Here is a 13,509-nt window from a genome sequence, read left to right on the forward strand (position 1 = left end):
GCTTAGGGGTCCTCATATGCTTTTTCCTCTCACTGAAGTAGTCCTCTTTCCTCTCTTCCAAGTTCAGTGTCATTAGCATAACAGGATCAGACAACTAGAGTTCATCTTGTTCAGCCCTCTGTCTTGTGCCGCTTCCATCTTATATTTTTTAACATAGCCACAGATTGGGAACACACAGTTTCTCACAGTAATAATTCCACATCTTATTTCCTTTTAGTGTTTGGAATGTGGCCACCCTGTGAATTTTTTTTTTTTTTTTTAATTTTTTGAGACAAAGTCTCACTCTGTCGCCCAGGCTGGAGTGCAGTGGCACGATCTTGGCTCACTGCAACCTCCACCTCCCGGTTCAAGTGATTCTCCTGCCTCAGCCTTTCAAATAGCTGGGATCACAGGCATGTGCCACCACTCCCAGCTATTTATTTTTTAATTTAATTTAATTTAATTTTTTTGTATTTTAGTAGTGATGGGGTTTTGCCATGTTGGTGAGGCTGGTCTCGAACTCCTGGCCTCAAGCTATCCATCTGCCTCAGCCTCCCAAAGTGCTGGGATTACAGGCTTAAGCCACCATGCCCAGCCCATGATGTGACTTTTATACAAACATAGAGCTTATACATTGAATTGGTTGCTGCCCTTTTCAAGACTGTTACCTTGGAAGGTCAAATGTATATATTCGAGTGATATGCATCTTAGTATTTTAGGTAAGAGAAGACTCTGGGAGTTACAACTTATTCTAGCTCCTTTGCCTTCTCTTTCATCTTCTTCCAAAATTTCTTACATTACCATCTATTATTGCCATCTTCATTTATTCCCTAGCCCATTGTAATCTGACTTCAGTACTCACTTCTGTATTAAAACTCTCACCAATGAGGTTACCCGTGACCGCCAAGTCTCTTAATAGGGACAATTGGGTGCACTCTCATTTTCTCCAACCCACTCATTACCCTAAGAGTTATCATCTGCCTCCTTAACTAAACTAAGAGCAGCATGGAGGCGAGGGCCATCTTTCTTTATCACAGTATCCTCTATGTCCAGCACACACCTGATATCACAGACCGTCAATGCTTCACTGAATGAATGAATGAATGCATACTCTCTGCCTCTCATTTTACACACAGAGACACAGAAGCCCTAAAGAAGGCATGCAGTTCGCCCAGGGTCATACAGCTGATTATTAGGAGAACCAGCATGTGACCTCAGGTCTCCTAACTCCCAGGCCAATGCCAATGGGTTTCATATAATACTGATGTGGCTCAAAAGAGGTTTCGGCTCCTTTTAAATTGTTTTCAAAGCCCACAATATATTCTTTTGAATATATCTGGTGGCAAGTCTTTATTCTTTTTTTTTTTTTTTTTTTTTTTTTGAGACGGAGTCTCGCTCTGTCGCCCAGGCTGGAGTGCAGTGGCGCGATCTCGGCTCACTGCAAGCTCCGCCTCCCAGGTTCACGCCATTCTCCTGCCTCAGCCGCCCGAGTAGCTGGGAGTACAGGCGCCCGCCACCACGCCCGGCTAATTTTTTGTATTTTTAGTAGAGACGGGGTTTCACCATGTTGGCCAGGATTGTCTTGATCTCCTGACCTCGTGATCCGCCCGCCTCGGCCTCCCAAAGTGCTGGGATTACAGGCGTGAGCCACCGCAGCCGGCCAAGTCTTTATTCTTTTAATTGGTGGCTTTTATTTTTGGAATTATCCTAAAGCTACCAGGACACACAACGTGTTTCACAACCTATAAGGCATTACAAAATCTGCAAAGGGGTATTAAAAGAGCTGTCCAGTCTACTTTTAGCCTAAAGAATTTAAGGCCTCATAGTGGGAGCATGATTAGCCAGAGCAATTTGCATAAAAATATACAATGGGAGGCTTTGACTCTGTTCTCATCTGTAGTAGCCAGGAATCCCCAACATTAGTGGGAAAGAGCTAGGCTCCTTGGGCAGTCAGATATTTGTCTACATGTGTGTGCCTGTGAGTGCATGCCTGCATGCACAGGTGCTGTGGACAGGGGAGGTGGAAGAGGGGCCAGGGGTGTTGGGATATTCCTTCTGGGAAAGGAGGACTCATTTCTCTTCTACTGTTCATTTCCACTCATCTCCCACCACCACACACAAACATATGCTAGTCTCCCCCGTAGCTCATGGCTATTTATGTTTTATAGGTTGATTTTCTGATTATAAAATTAATGTTTTCATTGTTTAAAATTTAGGAAACAGAAACAAAAATCTTACAACCCCGAGATAACCAATAAAACACATATTTTATTCAGGACTTTAGACATATTTGGATTTCTTTTTACATAAGCGGCATCATTTTTTAATGAAGTTCTGTATTCTGCATTTTTGCTGAATGTTATAAAATGAGTATTTCTCCATGTCATTAAAAATTATTCAGCAATATAATTTTAATGACTGCATATTGCTTTTTATGGATGTATCATAAACTTCCTAATTATTCTCCTCTTCTTGGGTATTTATGTTGTTCCCAGACCTTTTTTTTTTTTTTTTTTTTTTTTTTTTGGTGTTATAAATAACGCCATGAAAAAGATTTCTGGGTAAAACTTTTGTCCACATCTCTGGTTATTTCCTTGGGACACATTACTTGTTCTGAAGCTAGTATGTATGAACCATACTTAGGTTTATCAATACATATTGCTAAATTGTTTTTCAGGAAAATTTTACCAACTTTTCTCAGCCAACTGAGGTATTTTGAATATCACAAAAAAGTAAATTATGGTAAATGGCCATACTCTCTCCCTAAGGAAAATGGCAGTGGGACATAGCAAGGCAGTCAGATTTTCCAAATCAAGGGGTTGATCACAATTGACTAGCTATTGGCTCCTGCCTTTGGCAAACCAGAAGCCTGGCAGAGGCCTAATAGAGGAAGAGTCTAGCAGAAATCATCTGAAATTAAGATAAGGCCATCCTTTTGCATATGAAGGGCCAGGTAGCAAAGTATACCAATATGTAGCTAGTGCTTTTGGAATATGCAGTTTATTATTTGACACATACCTGCATCCTAAAAGCATTTGAGGTAAGCACTGGTTATCTGGGACCCAACTGCTCCTGAAGGACTAACCCCTGAACTCCCCAGCCTGCATAACTAAGTAACCAGATTCCAAAGCAGAGATTATTATCCTCATATTCAGTGTGACCTAACCAATCCATCTTGACATTATTTCTGATAATATCGTGCATATCTTTATATATCAATCAAGGTTTTATGAAACGCAGTAAAACATTAAAATGGCTAAGAGCATAGACTCTGGAGCCAGACTGTCTGAGATTTAATTCCTAGCTCTACAATTTAGTAGCTGTGTGATCTTAGGCAAGTTACTTAATCTATCTGTGCCTTAGTTTTCTCATCATAATTTGAAGATAATAATAGTTCTTTTCTTTATAGTTGTCATGAAGAGTAAGTGAGTTAAAACATATAAATTTCTAGGAACAATATCAGGCCCATAGTAAATGCTATATACAAATTTCCTACTATTATTATTTCGAGTTGCTAAGAATTAACTTTAGCAGAGGAAGTAACATTAGATAACACAAATATTTTAAAGCAATTGCTTGAGTTTTGGGAATAAAAGGAATGCTTTTTTTCAACTAGGATCCCAATAATATTTCGGTTCTGTCCTTGAAAAGTTTTTCTTTTTTTTATCATGATTGTACTCAGTAAACTTTTGGATCTCTCAGACATATTTGAAAGCAGTGTCTTATACTGGGGACAAGGACCATTAGCATTACCACCCATCTGATACTTTCCCCTTTACACTAAGGCATTATTCCCATAATCTTACAAATTTCCCATAATCTTACAACCCAGATATAACAATGACAATGACAACAAAAGGCATATTTCCTTTTAGGACTTTTTTTTTTTTGCCATAGCCTTTCTCTTAGATTCATCTGGATAAATCTCACTGATAGGTTGAGGTTATCAGAGTGTGTCTAGAATTTGACAGTACCGGTCCTAGAAAGGCCTGGTCAGATTCTTTGTGTGTGTGTATATATATATATATATATATATATGACTTTTGACAATGAACCATTTGAAATCTAATTCCACTGCATGATCCAGATGAATAAATAAGCTAAATGAAAAGCATCCAAGGAAAGGAACTACTCAAAGAAGCAGGAACTGCTTGAGCAGCAGAAATTGACATGACCATGGACATGAGGGTCTATAAACTCTGGGCTATCATGGATAATTGAAAGTCATAATTTTCCAAAGGGCTTAATTGAATATTTGAAAATTTGTATGAAAATAAACTGAGTCAACTAAATAATAATAAACACAGCTAAACTAAACAATATAAATCTTCAAAAGAAGAACCCTAATTAAAAAGATAGATTGCACTTCCTGGACTTTGCCATTCTGGTTGTTTTCAATATTATGCCACTGGGAAAATACAACTGTTTCTAATCAAATAATTTAAACTCCCATGCTGGGGCTTAAGTGTGTGTTCTCCCATTTTTCTCTTGCTACTTGTTTTGGGGATAAAGCAGCTCAAATTATTCAGACACCAATCAGATTTATCATCCTGTGCCTTTTGATGACATCCATCTGTTTATCTAAGAAGCCATTAAAGACTTATTGAGTTACAGTGCTATGGAGAAAATTGGGTTATCATCTATGGTTAAATCCAATTCTTGCATCTGCCATCTTTTCAGCTTATGTGGTATATTCTGAAATTACCGGGACTTGCAGACCTGCACTACAAGAATACATTTGCTTCCTAGCCTTTCTATGTCATTTCTAGAGAATTTCTAATGTATGCACAATTTGTGGTTCAGGAATATGTTGACAGAAAGATGTCAGTGCTTTCTGTTGTTAAAAGTTCAAAAGCCTAATAGAGACTATGCCAGCTTAAAAGTCTTATTCAGAAGTGGGTACTGTCCAATTCCAACGTTTGTGTTTAGACTAGCCTATTCAAAGGAAAATTTGACTCTAGGTCACAAAGGTAGAAGTGTGTTAATCAGAAGATAAAGATAAATTAATATCAAGTCAAAATTCAAACGGACAAAAAAAGTGAGAGCTCATCACAAAAGGTGTTAAATAAACACCAGCAAGTAAACTGATAAGACACAAAGGATCCAATCTTGCTAGGGAATGACTAGGTAGAAGTCCAGTGCTTATCTCACAAGTCAAGCAGCTTAAGCAAGGCTAAAAGTCATGTTTTCTGAGCTGGTGAAGAAGCAGTGGACTGTGTGGAGAAAACTAATTGAAATAAAGTGAATATTTGCAGTTTCCGGGAGATACTGTTATATCCTGACTGCAGGAGCCCCAGAGAAAGAGCAACTGTAAATCAGGCAGATGCTTCAGTTTGCCAATTTTTCTAGCATTTGTCAGAGAAATAATGAGGAACCCATCAGGAAAACATTTCCTTGATTTGTTTATGTAAATCAGGCCAGAATTCTGGGAAACCCAGGTTTTCTGGGAATCTTCAAGAATTACAGCATAGCTGCTCCTCCTGAAATTCTAGCTGAACACACTATTTATTGAGCATTTAAGAAGATCTTTCCGATCATATTTCAGTTTCCTTTCTTTGTTTTCCTCATAGTAAGGTAAGTACCCTGAAATGGGAGACGATAGCCGTGCGATAGCTGAGCATAATCAGTTGAGATCTACATGCCAGATATGGCTGGTTTCAGAAAGATATTCATTTGTCTGTCTACCTGTTTGCTTCCTGTGACCTTCATATAACTTCTACCTGTACTGTCAGCAGAGATGCTGTTTTTGTGTCACTGGTGATGCCACAGTGAAAGAAAAATCTTGCCAAGGCAAGGATGACAAGGAACCAGGACCTAGACCCTAAAGTAGCAAATATTGTGGGGAAGAGTCTCCTGGGAGTACTCTTTCACAACCTACTAAATTCATCCAAAAGTAAATTTTAGTAGGATTGAAAAATACTCAGCCTCTTGTTCAGAGTGAGAAGCTATATACTGTATGATTTTAAGAGTTATGCCTTTTTGTCTTTACCACCCTAGTCAACGCACAAAATACTTGCTCTAACTTGCTGAAATTCTATGATTAACAATTCATTTATTTGTCTTAAGCTTTGTTAACCTTTTAACATATAGGTATATGTAGATTATCTGACCCTTTCTTTAAGGTAGTTTCTGGCTGCAGAAAGGGAGGAGTGAGGACCCTTTGGGCCAGAAGGAGAAGACACCTCGTTTCTCCAAAGCTTTTGTCTGTGATTTACTGTATTGATTGACTATTTAGGTTAGCATTTTGATTTTCAGTCAAAACGGCAGAGGGAAATATATTGGCCACTTTTCAGTCATTTATTCAAAGACCAATGAGACTGAGACAATACCTGTGGACTATTCTCTAATATTTTATTGAGTGACTTTATTAATTTTAGTGTTTAGATAGGAGAAATGATATTGAGAATTCTCTAAGAAGGCTTTCAATAATTGCATCGATCAGTTAAAGGTGTTGATCCAGATGCAAATAACTGCTGGAATGGCTAATGACAAGGTTCTGGAAATGTACTAGGAATTACTCAAGACAGAAGGTCTGAGAGGATCAAAATTGGTATCCAGAAATGGCACCACCACTCTCCCCTCTTTCACTGTTTCCATCTTCATGTCTCCTCCACAGCTCTTCATGCTTGTCAACTTGGGGAAAGTCATGGTTGATGCCCTTCTGACAGCCTGCTGGAGAAGATCTGTTGCCTTTTCTGGCAGTCAGTGACGTCTTCTGCCACAACTGGGCTTTACTCTATGGCTTTCTTAGAAAGCAGCATCCATAGCTGGAGGAGCCTTGAGCTCACTGGACTGAGTCCTTTCAGCTTGAAGCTGACCTCCCTGATTGCCCTGCCTCTCCATTGCAGTTTCCGTTCTCACACTGACCAATACTAATTGAAGGAGATAGCATCACCTACTGGTAATCAGGTCCCTGCCTTGTCTTAGGTTGCCATCCAATAACAACTTGAGAATTTATAAAATATTGTTTTTCTTTACAGGTGTTTCTTGAGTTTGTTTCTCAAGTACTAAGCACTATCAGAGAAAGAAATCAATGTTAATTATACACAAACTGTAGGAATACAAAAGAACATTTAGATAATCACTTCTCTGAAGGAAACTACAATCTCTTCAGGCAGATAATAGATAATATGGGTATCTTCCATTTCTACAAAAGATAAAAATGTAGGTGAGAGAGAAAGAGCACTTACTAAAAGTTAAATGGAGTCAGCAGAACCTGAGATTTCCAAGTGATAGAAACCTGGACAGGCAGCAGAGGTGGAGAAGCACAGTCTAAGTGGAGAGTCACATGAGCAAAGGAGACTCAGAAATCAGAGTTCTTTGGAAGTGGGAGGTTGCTAAGAAAGATCGAAAATGCCAGGAAGGCCCTTACTTCCAAGATGAGCTTGAATTTGATCTGGTAGGAATTGGGAAACCATTTTGGATTTCTGAGCAGGGATCCAAGCTTTAAATGCACAGTTTTGAGGACATTTACTTTTCTGGAGTATACAAACTCAGCTGTTAAAGAGTGGGATCAGAAGCTAAAGATCAGCTAGGAAAAATTACAGTAATCCAGGCAGGTGAGGGTCTAGATTGCAGCAGAAAAAGAGAGTCTCTGATGAATTCAAAAGTTATTGGAAAGTGGAAATTGATAGGACTTGGTGACAAATTGAATTAAATTGACTAATCATTTATTATTTTGTGCATCTCAGCATTCTACATCTCTACCAGTGAACTCATTAAAGAGATTTTTATGTTAATAGCGAAGTTTTTAATGTAAGTTGATTTGAGAGATCTTTTCTGGTTGAATACAGTTGGCAGGCTGTTGGATTTAGTAGGCAAGGCCACATTTATCTGGCATCATTAAAATTAGGTAACCTAAATAAATAAAATATTTAGACAATTGAAGCTTGCTGTCATTGCCCAATTTGGGGAGGCAGTCCAGAGGGACTGGCCAGATCAGATACCATTCTGTGGATAAGTTATCCTGAGGGACAAGTGGAGAAACAAATTCAGGGGCACTTTTTCTAAGAACGGGAAGGGGACTCCCAAAGAAATTCCCCAAACTAAGACATCAGTCTCTGAGACAAAATAGAACATGAAATGAGGATAGAGATTCAAGGATCTAAGTAGTCCATTCATTAATGAAATAATATTACTTATGTGCATTGAGTACCTACTTCCGTGCTGAAAGCTTTGCATAGGTCATTTGTTTTACTTGTATGTATTGAGCACTTACTAGGTGTTGGCTGAGCAAAGAACCTAACAGGTATGTTCCCAGCCCTTATAGAGCTTATAGTCTGGTGTGGGAGATAGTCATCAAACAAATAATTATACAAATACATACTTAGTTACAAATTGTGATCATTGCAGTAAAGGGAAATATAGAGTGGCATGGAGGTAAAACAAGGGTTCTCCACTTAGATTTCACAGTCAAAAATGGTGTTCCTGAGTAAATAATATTCTAGCAGAAACTTTGAAGGATGACTGGGAATTAGCCAGGCAAAGACTAAAAGGATGAGTGTCAAGGACACTGAAAGGCAAAGTAGGAGATCAAATACTGGGAATCTTGAAGTCGGAAGTAGGTATTTGGTTTAAGCTTTGGAGCAAGGTGAAACTGGAACCTGGAATGGCTGTAATTACAAATTGTCCTCAGATTACCCAGCTCAGAATCTACAGACACACGCTAAATGAAAAAGGCAGCATATTTAATGGTCAGAACATCACAACATACAATTTGCAGTCAGATGAATGTGGACCACTTCTTGGGTGTTTTATCCTGGGAAGACACTTACCCTTTCTCAGCTTTAATTTTTCATTCTGTACAATGGGGCTAATACTACTTATCTCTTGGGGATTGTGAAAGGCTCAAATGAGATAATGTCTGTAATATACTTAATTCAGTACCTGACAGACAATATATGCTCTTCCTTCATGTCACCAAGTCTTTTGTTATTCTATTTAATTCATATTTATTTTGATAACAACATGAAGATACCCACATACCTAGCAAAATGTAGGAACTTTATAACAGGCATTTTCTTTGCTGCTCAGAAGCTTATCTGAGTCTTTTCCACCTATTCCCTGATCTGTAATTGTGTTTCATATTTTTGAGGCTCTCTGAAGTGAAATCTCCAGATTGGGAAAGGGTTAAGGGATTCATATGTAAATAGACATAGAATTCAGTGTGTGCTCAATTAAGATTTGATGAATGAATGATTACTGTATAATTATAGAGATCTGACAGTGATAACCATAGTTAATTCATTGCTAAGGTCGTGTACATTGAAAAATAATTTTAAAGCATTTTTTAGTAATTTGTGTTTTTAAGTTGTTAGTAAACTAAATTGCAACCTTTTGTTCTCTGAATATTCTCTTAACTATAAATCTACCATGTTTTAATCAGAGAAATGTTGTGACAGTTCCAGGAAAGGAAACATTTTTTCTGTTTAAAACATTTCTAGCATTTCAGCCAAACAATTTATCTAGAATGGTTTTCCCTTTAAAAGGAATAGTAGACAATTAGAAGCATAGTACAGTACATTTTCTGCCTTATGGTTCCAAGCCAAAAACCAGAGAACTTTTGTGCTTTATAAGCAATTGTAAACTAAAATGAGTAACTGGTATATGGTAATAGACTAGGCTTTGAGCTGCTATTACCATAGAATACTTTTCCGGCTTTCTTAGAAGCACGAGAACAAAATTGGGAAGAAGGCATTTATCTGATTGAAGCTAGGATGCTACTTGCATTGTACTTCACTTTAGGTAGAAAGGCAGTCATTTTATTTGCTGTTAATGTGAAAAGAGATATCACTTCTCTTTAGAATGTAGCCAGCAAATCAGTATCTAAAGCCTATACACATGGCTAGAAACAAAGCTACCCATATAGCCTTAGACCTCCCTGAACCTGATCAGGCCCCAGGATACTGTTCTGCTCATCACAGTGGGAAGCTACAGGTTTGCTCAAACCAAGTCCATCTATGGGAGTTACTAAAACCTCTCCTTAGCACTTCTCCAGAATATGGAAGTTTGGGAAAGCCCACTCCAGGGGGTCCCTACATATACCTACATAAAAGCTTCATTTATTTGTATAAACAGGCAGATCAGAAATAGGTTAGTGACAATAAATGGGTAAAGTACACTGATGTTTAAATATTTCCCTTGCAATAATACCTGGATGAGATTATTTTATTTGGACTTTGGGAACAAAAGCATTGTTTGGCAATATTTAAATCCTAGTAAATATAAACAGTAAGCAAATTTTACAATTAATTTAAATAGTTCAGCCAACCACATAACTATATAAATCCTATGTTAGTTTAATCTCTCTAGGGACTTGGCAATATTTTTTTCTTGATAGGCAGATTTCACATATATTTTATTCATTTATTCAAAAATATTAACTAAGTCCAAGAAAATTCCTAAGCACCGTGCTAGGCACTAATGCCAAACGGCCCTGCACTAAATGGACACTTAGAGTCTTGTGTGGGATTCAGACAGGAAGCAAATAGTGTCTCAGTATTCTCTCTGCAGTATCCTTCCCTCTTAAGACGACTCCCAGATCAGAGGGGAGCAGCTCCTGTAGAAGTGGCCCAGGGCTAGGAGACCTGCCACTCCCCTTCTCCCCACTGCCCTCTCAGCGCTCCTCTGTAGGGCTCTGCAGATCTAGTTTGAAGATTGCTTTACATATGGTTCTGATGTGCAGAAAAATGGAAGAATCTTTGCTGAATCTATTTCATTTGGACTAAATCTGTTTCAGATCTTACTGGCCAGCCTCACCATACTGGCCACACACATGCAAGAAAAAGCCTTCATTCCAACCAACCTAAAGCCACACTATTTGCTCATTACAATGAAAGACATAATTTACTTATTGCATGGCTTAGGCCAGAGAGAATGCCAGTAGGAAGACTCTTCTCCCAGGAAATAAATAGATTATAAGAAACAATAAGAAATAAATAGATGTGGACAAGAAGCCTCAATATGCTTACCTGTCTACACACACACACACGTTATTGAACCTGATGAAGGGTTCTGAACTTGCAGAATACCAGATAATTGACATATCAGTGCATCTCTAGTCTGGGTAGATTAATCTGGGGTACAAGTATATTTTCTCTGTTTTTTATGTTGTTGTTGTTTCTACAAGCAGTTTCCTTTTGCATTTCCTCTGTGCAAAACAAGGACCTGGGGATCTGCTTCATTTATAATTAGAGCAAGAAAGTCCTGCTTGACATTGTATTGGAGCCTTACAGTTTCAAGACTCTCGGTTGCATAATGCATGTGTTTTGTTAATACCGTTAATACCATGTAATACTAGTGCCCCTGATACTGTGTATAAATGAGGCATACAAGTAGCTCCTTCGCCCAGCAGCAACATGGTCTGTACTTGTAGAAAAATTTACCTCCTGACCCCCTAAATATTGATTGTTTGATTGGAGAATTGAGAGATTCCAGTGGTAGGGATCAGAAAAGATGAAAAAGATGAAAATGTGTAGGCATAAAAATAGTATGAGGAAGAGAAAAATTATAATGGCATCACATATATGTTGCATATTCTATGCCAGGTAGTGTTAAAAAGGTTTATGTATGTGCATTCACATACTCATTTAAATATTACAGCACCCCCCCAGGGGATACACATACTTACTGAAATTTTAGTCTGTGTAACATAGCAAGATCCTGTTTCTACTAAAAATTACATTTAAAAAAATAGCTGGGCATGGTGATACATGCCTGTAGTCCCAGCTACTCAAGAGGCTGAAGTTAGAGAATTGCTTGAGCCCAGGACCTCCATGTTGCAGTGAACCATGATCGTGCCACTGCAGTCCAGCCTGGGTGACGTGCAACTCTCTATCTCAAAAAAAAAAGAAAGAAAGAAAGAAATTTTATAGATTGGGGAAACCAAAGTAAAATGCCTTGGCCAAGATGACATGGCAAACAAGTGACAGAGTGAGGATTTGAACCCAGACAGTCCAGCTGTCAAGTCAATGCTCAAAGCATGATGCTATGTAGCCATAGGAGAGCCCTATATGCAGGTAGAGGAAAGATTTCTTTATAAACCAAAAGATGGGTGTAGACTCAGTGAGTCTGTATAACGGGGTAAAGGGAGTTGTGAGAAAGGGAACCGAGAATTTTGAAAGGAATAGAGGGCTGAACTGAAGCTGAACTGGGGAAGCCCCTGACTGTGGTAAATAAACAGAAAATAAAAACAATAGTAGTCACTTAGCTGCTTTAAATCCCCTTTTTAGCAATAGATTGTAAATGATAATCACTGTGAGTTTTTTTTAAGGGAATACTAGAGATTCTGGTCCAACTGTGGTTCGAGTGGCTGCAAGGAAAGCATTTTCAACCAGCAGCGGAGGCTGCAGTCATTCACGAGCATCAGGAAATCAGGGGAGCCTCGGAGAGGCTGTGGGTGATGGATGGGAACAAGTTGAAAGAATAGTATGCAGAAGCCTGGGGTCAGGGTGGGGCAGTAAAAGCTGAGCTCAGGAGCCAGGAAATTGTTCAGAAGCTAGAAATCAAAAGTCATCAGATGGTAAAAGCCAACACAGCAGAGATGATGCCAAAAGCACCTGGAAACAAGGCAAAAACAGCTTCAGACAGGAGAAAGCAGCTTATATTGCTGGACTAGGAACTGAAATTATTTCCCAGGATAAAGTCATCCTGCTGGAGGCTTTCAGTAGAGTGCTTCACCTCAACTGGCAGTGGCTGTCAGCCAAGGAGAAACAGATGCAATCTGTAGCTCTAACTGAAAAGCCTGCTGTCGCAAGGACCCAGAGATCTGAGACAGTGGGGTCAACCTGAGCCTGGCCATGGGAGAGGGTGAACTATGGAGAAAAGTGAAGGAATCCCAGGCTTCGGCTAGAGAAGACCTGTGATAAATAGAAAGGGGCCAGGTACGGTGGCTCACGCCTGTAATCCTAACACTTGGAGAGGCCAAGGCAGGTGGATCACCTGGGGTCAGGAGTTCGAGACCAGCCTGGCCAACATGGTGAAACCCAGTCTCTACTAATAAAAATTTTAAAAATTAGCCAGGAGTGCTGATGGGTACCTGTAATCTCAGCTACTTGGGAGGCTGAGGAGAATCGCTTGAACCCAGTGGGCGGAGGTTGCAGTGAGCCAAGATCTCACCACTGCACTCCAGCCTGGGCAACAGAGTGAGACTCCATCTCAAAGACAAAAACAAAAAAGAAAGGGAGTGGTACTGTGGAACTGGAAGGGCCTGGAAGAATTTGATGGATGTTGTAGAACATCTAGGCCAATTGTGTCCCTGTCATTTACCTAATCAGTATTGGATTTTTCATCCTGAGTCTTTTGTGCATGTACGAGTAGTTAAACCCTTTATGCTCTTAAGTATTTATCTTGCTGCAATGTATGGTAATCAATGAGGTTTGAAAGGACTGCTTTAGAAGAGAAAGAGAGGAAGCAGGTAATCATAAGAGTTGTTTTCCCCTTGAGAAACCAAAAAGAACAAGCTCTGAATAGAGGTGTGAGGCCCCTTCCCACTTTAACATTCTGTGAGTGTCTGAATGTCCTAATCCCCCC

At 39.2% G+C, this 13,509-nt stretch overlaps 1 protein-coding gene across 7 annotated transcripts in view; it reads left to right on the plus strand.

The window, feature by feature from the left end:
* The window catches only part of ATRNL1 (attractin like 1), an 855,635-nt gene that overhangs the window by 774,123 nt on the left and 68,003 nt on the right, over positions 1–13,509 (plus strand). The window lies entirely within an intron of this gene.

This window comes from Homo sapiens, chromosome 10 (assembly GCF_000001405.40).
Source record: "Homo sapiens chromosome 10, GRCh38.p14 Primary Assembly".
NCBI classification, from domain to species: domain Eukaryota; kingdom Metazoa; phylum Chordata; class Mammalia; order Primates; family Hominidae; genus Homo; species Homo sapiens.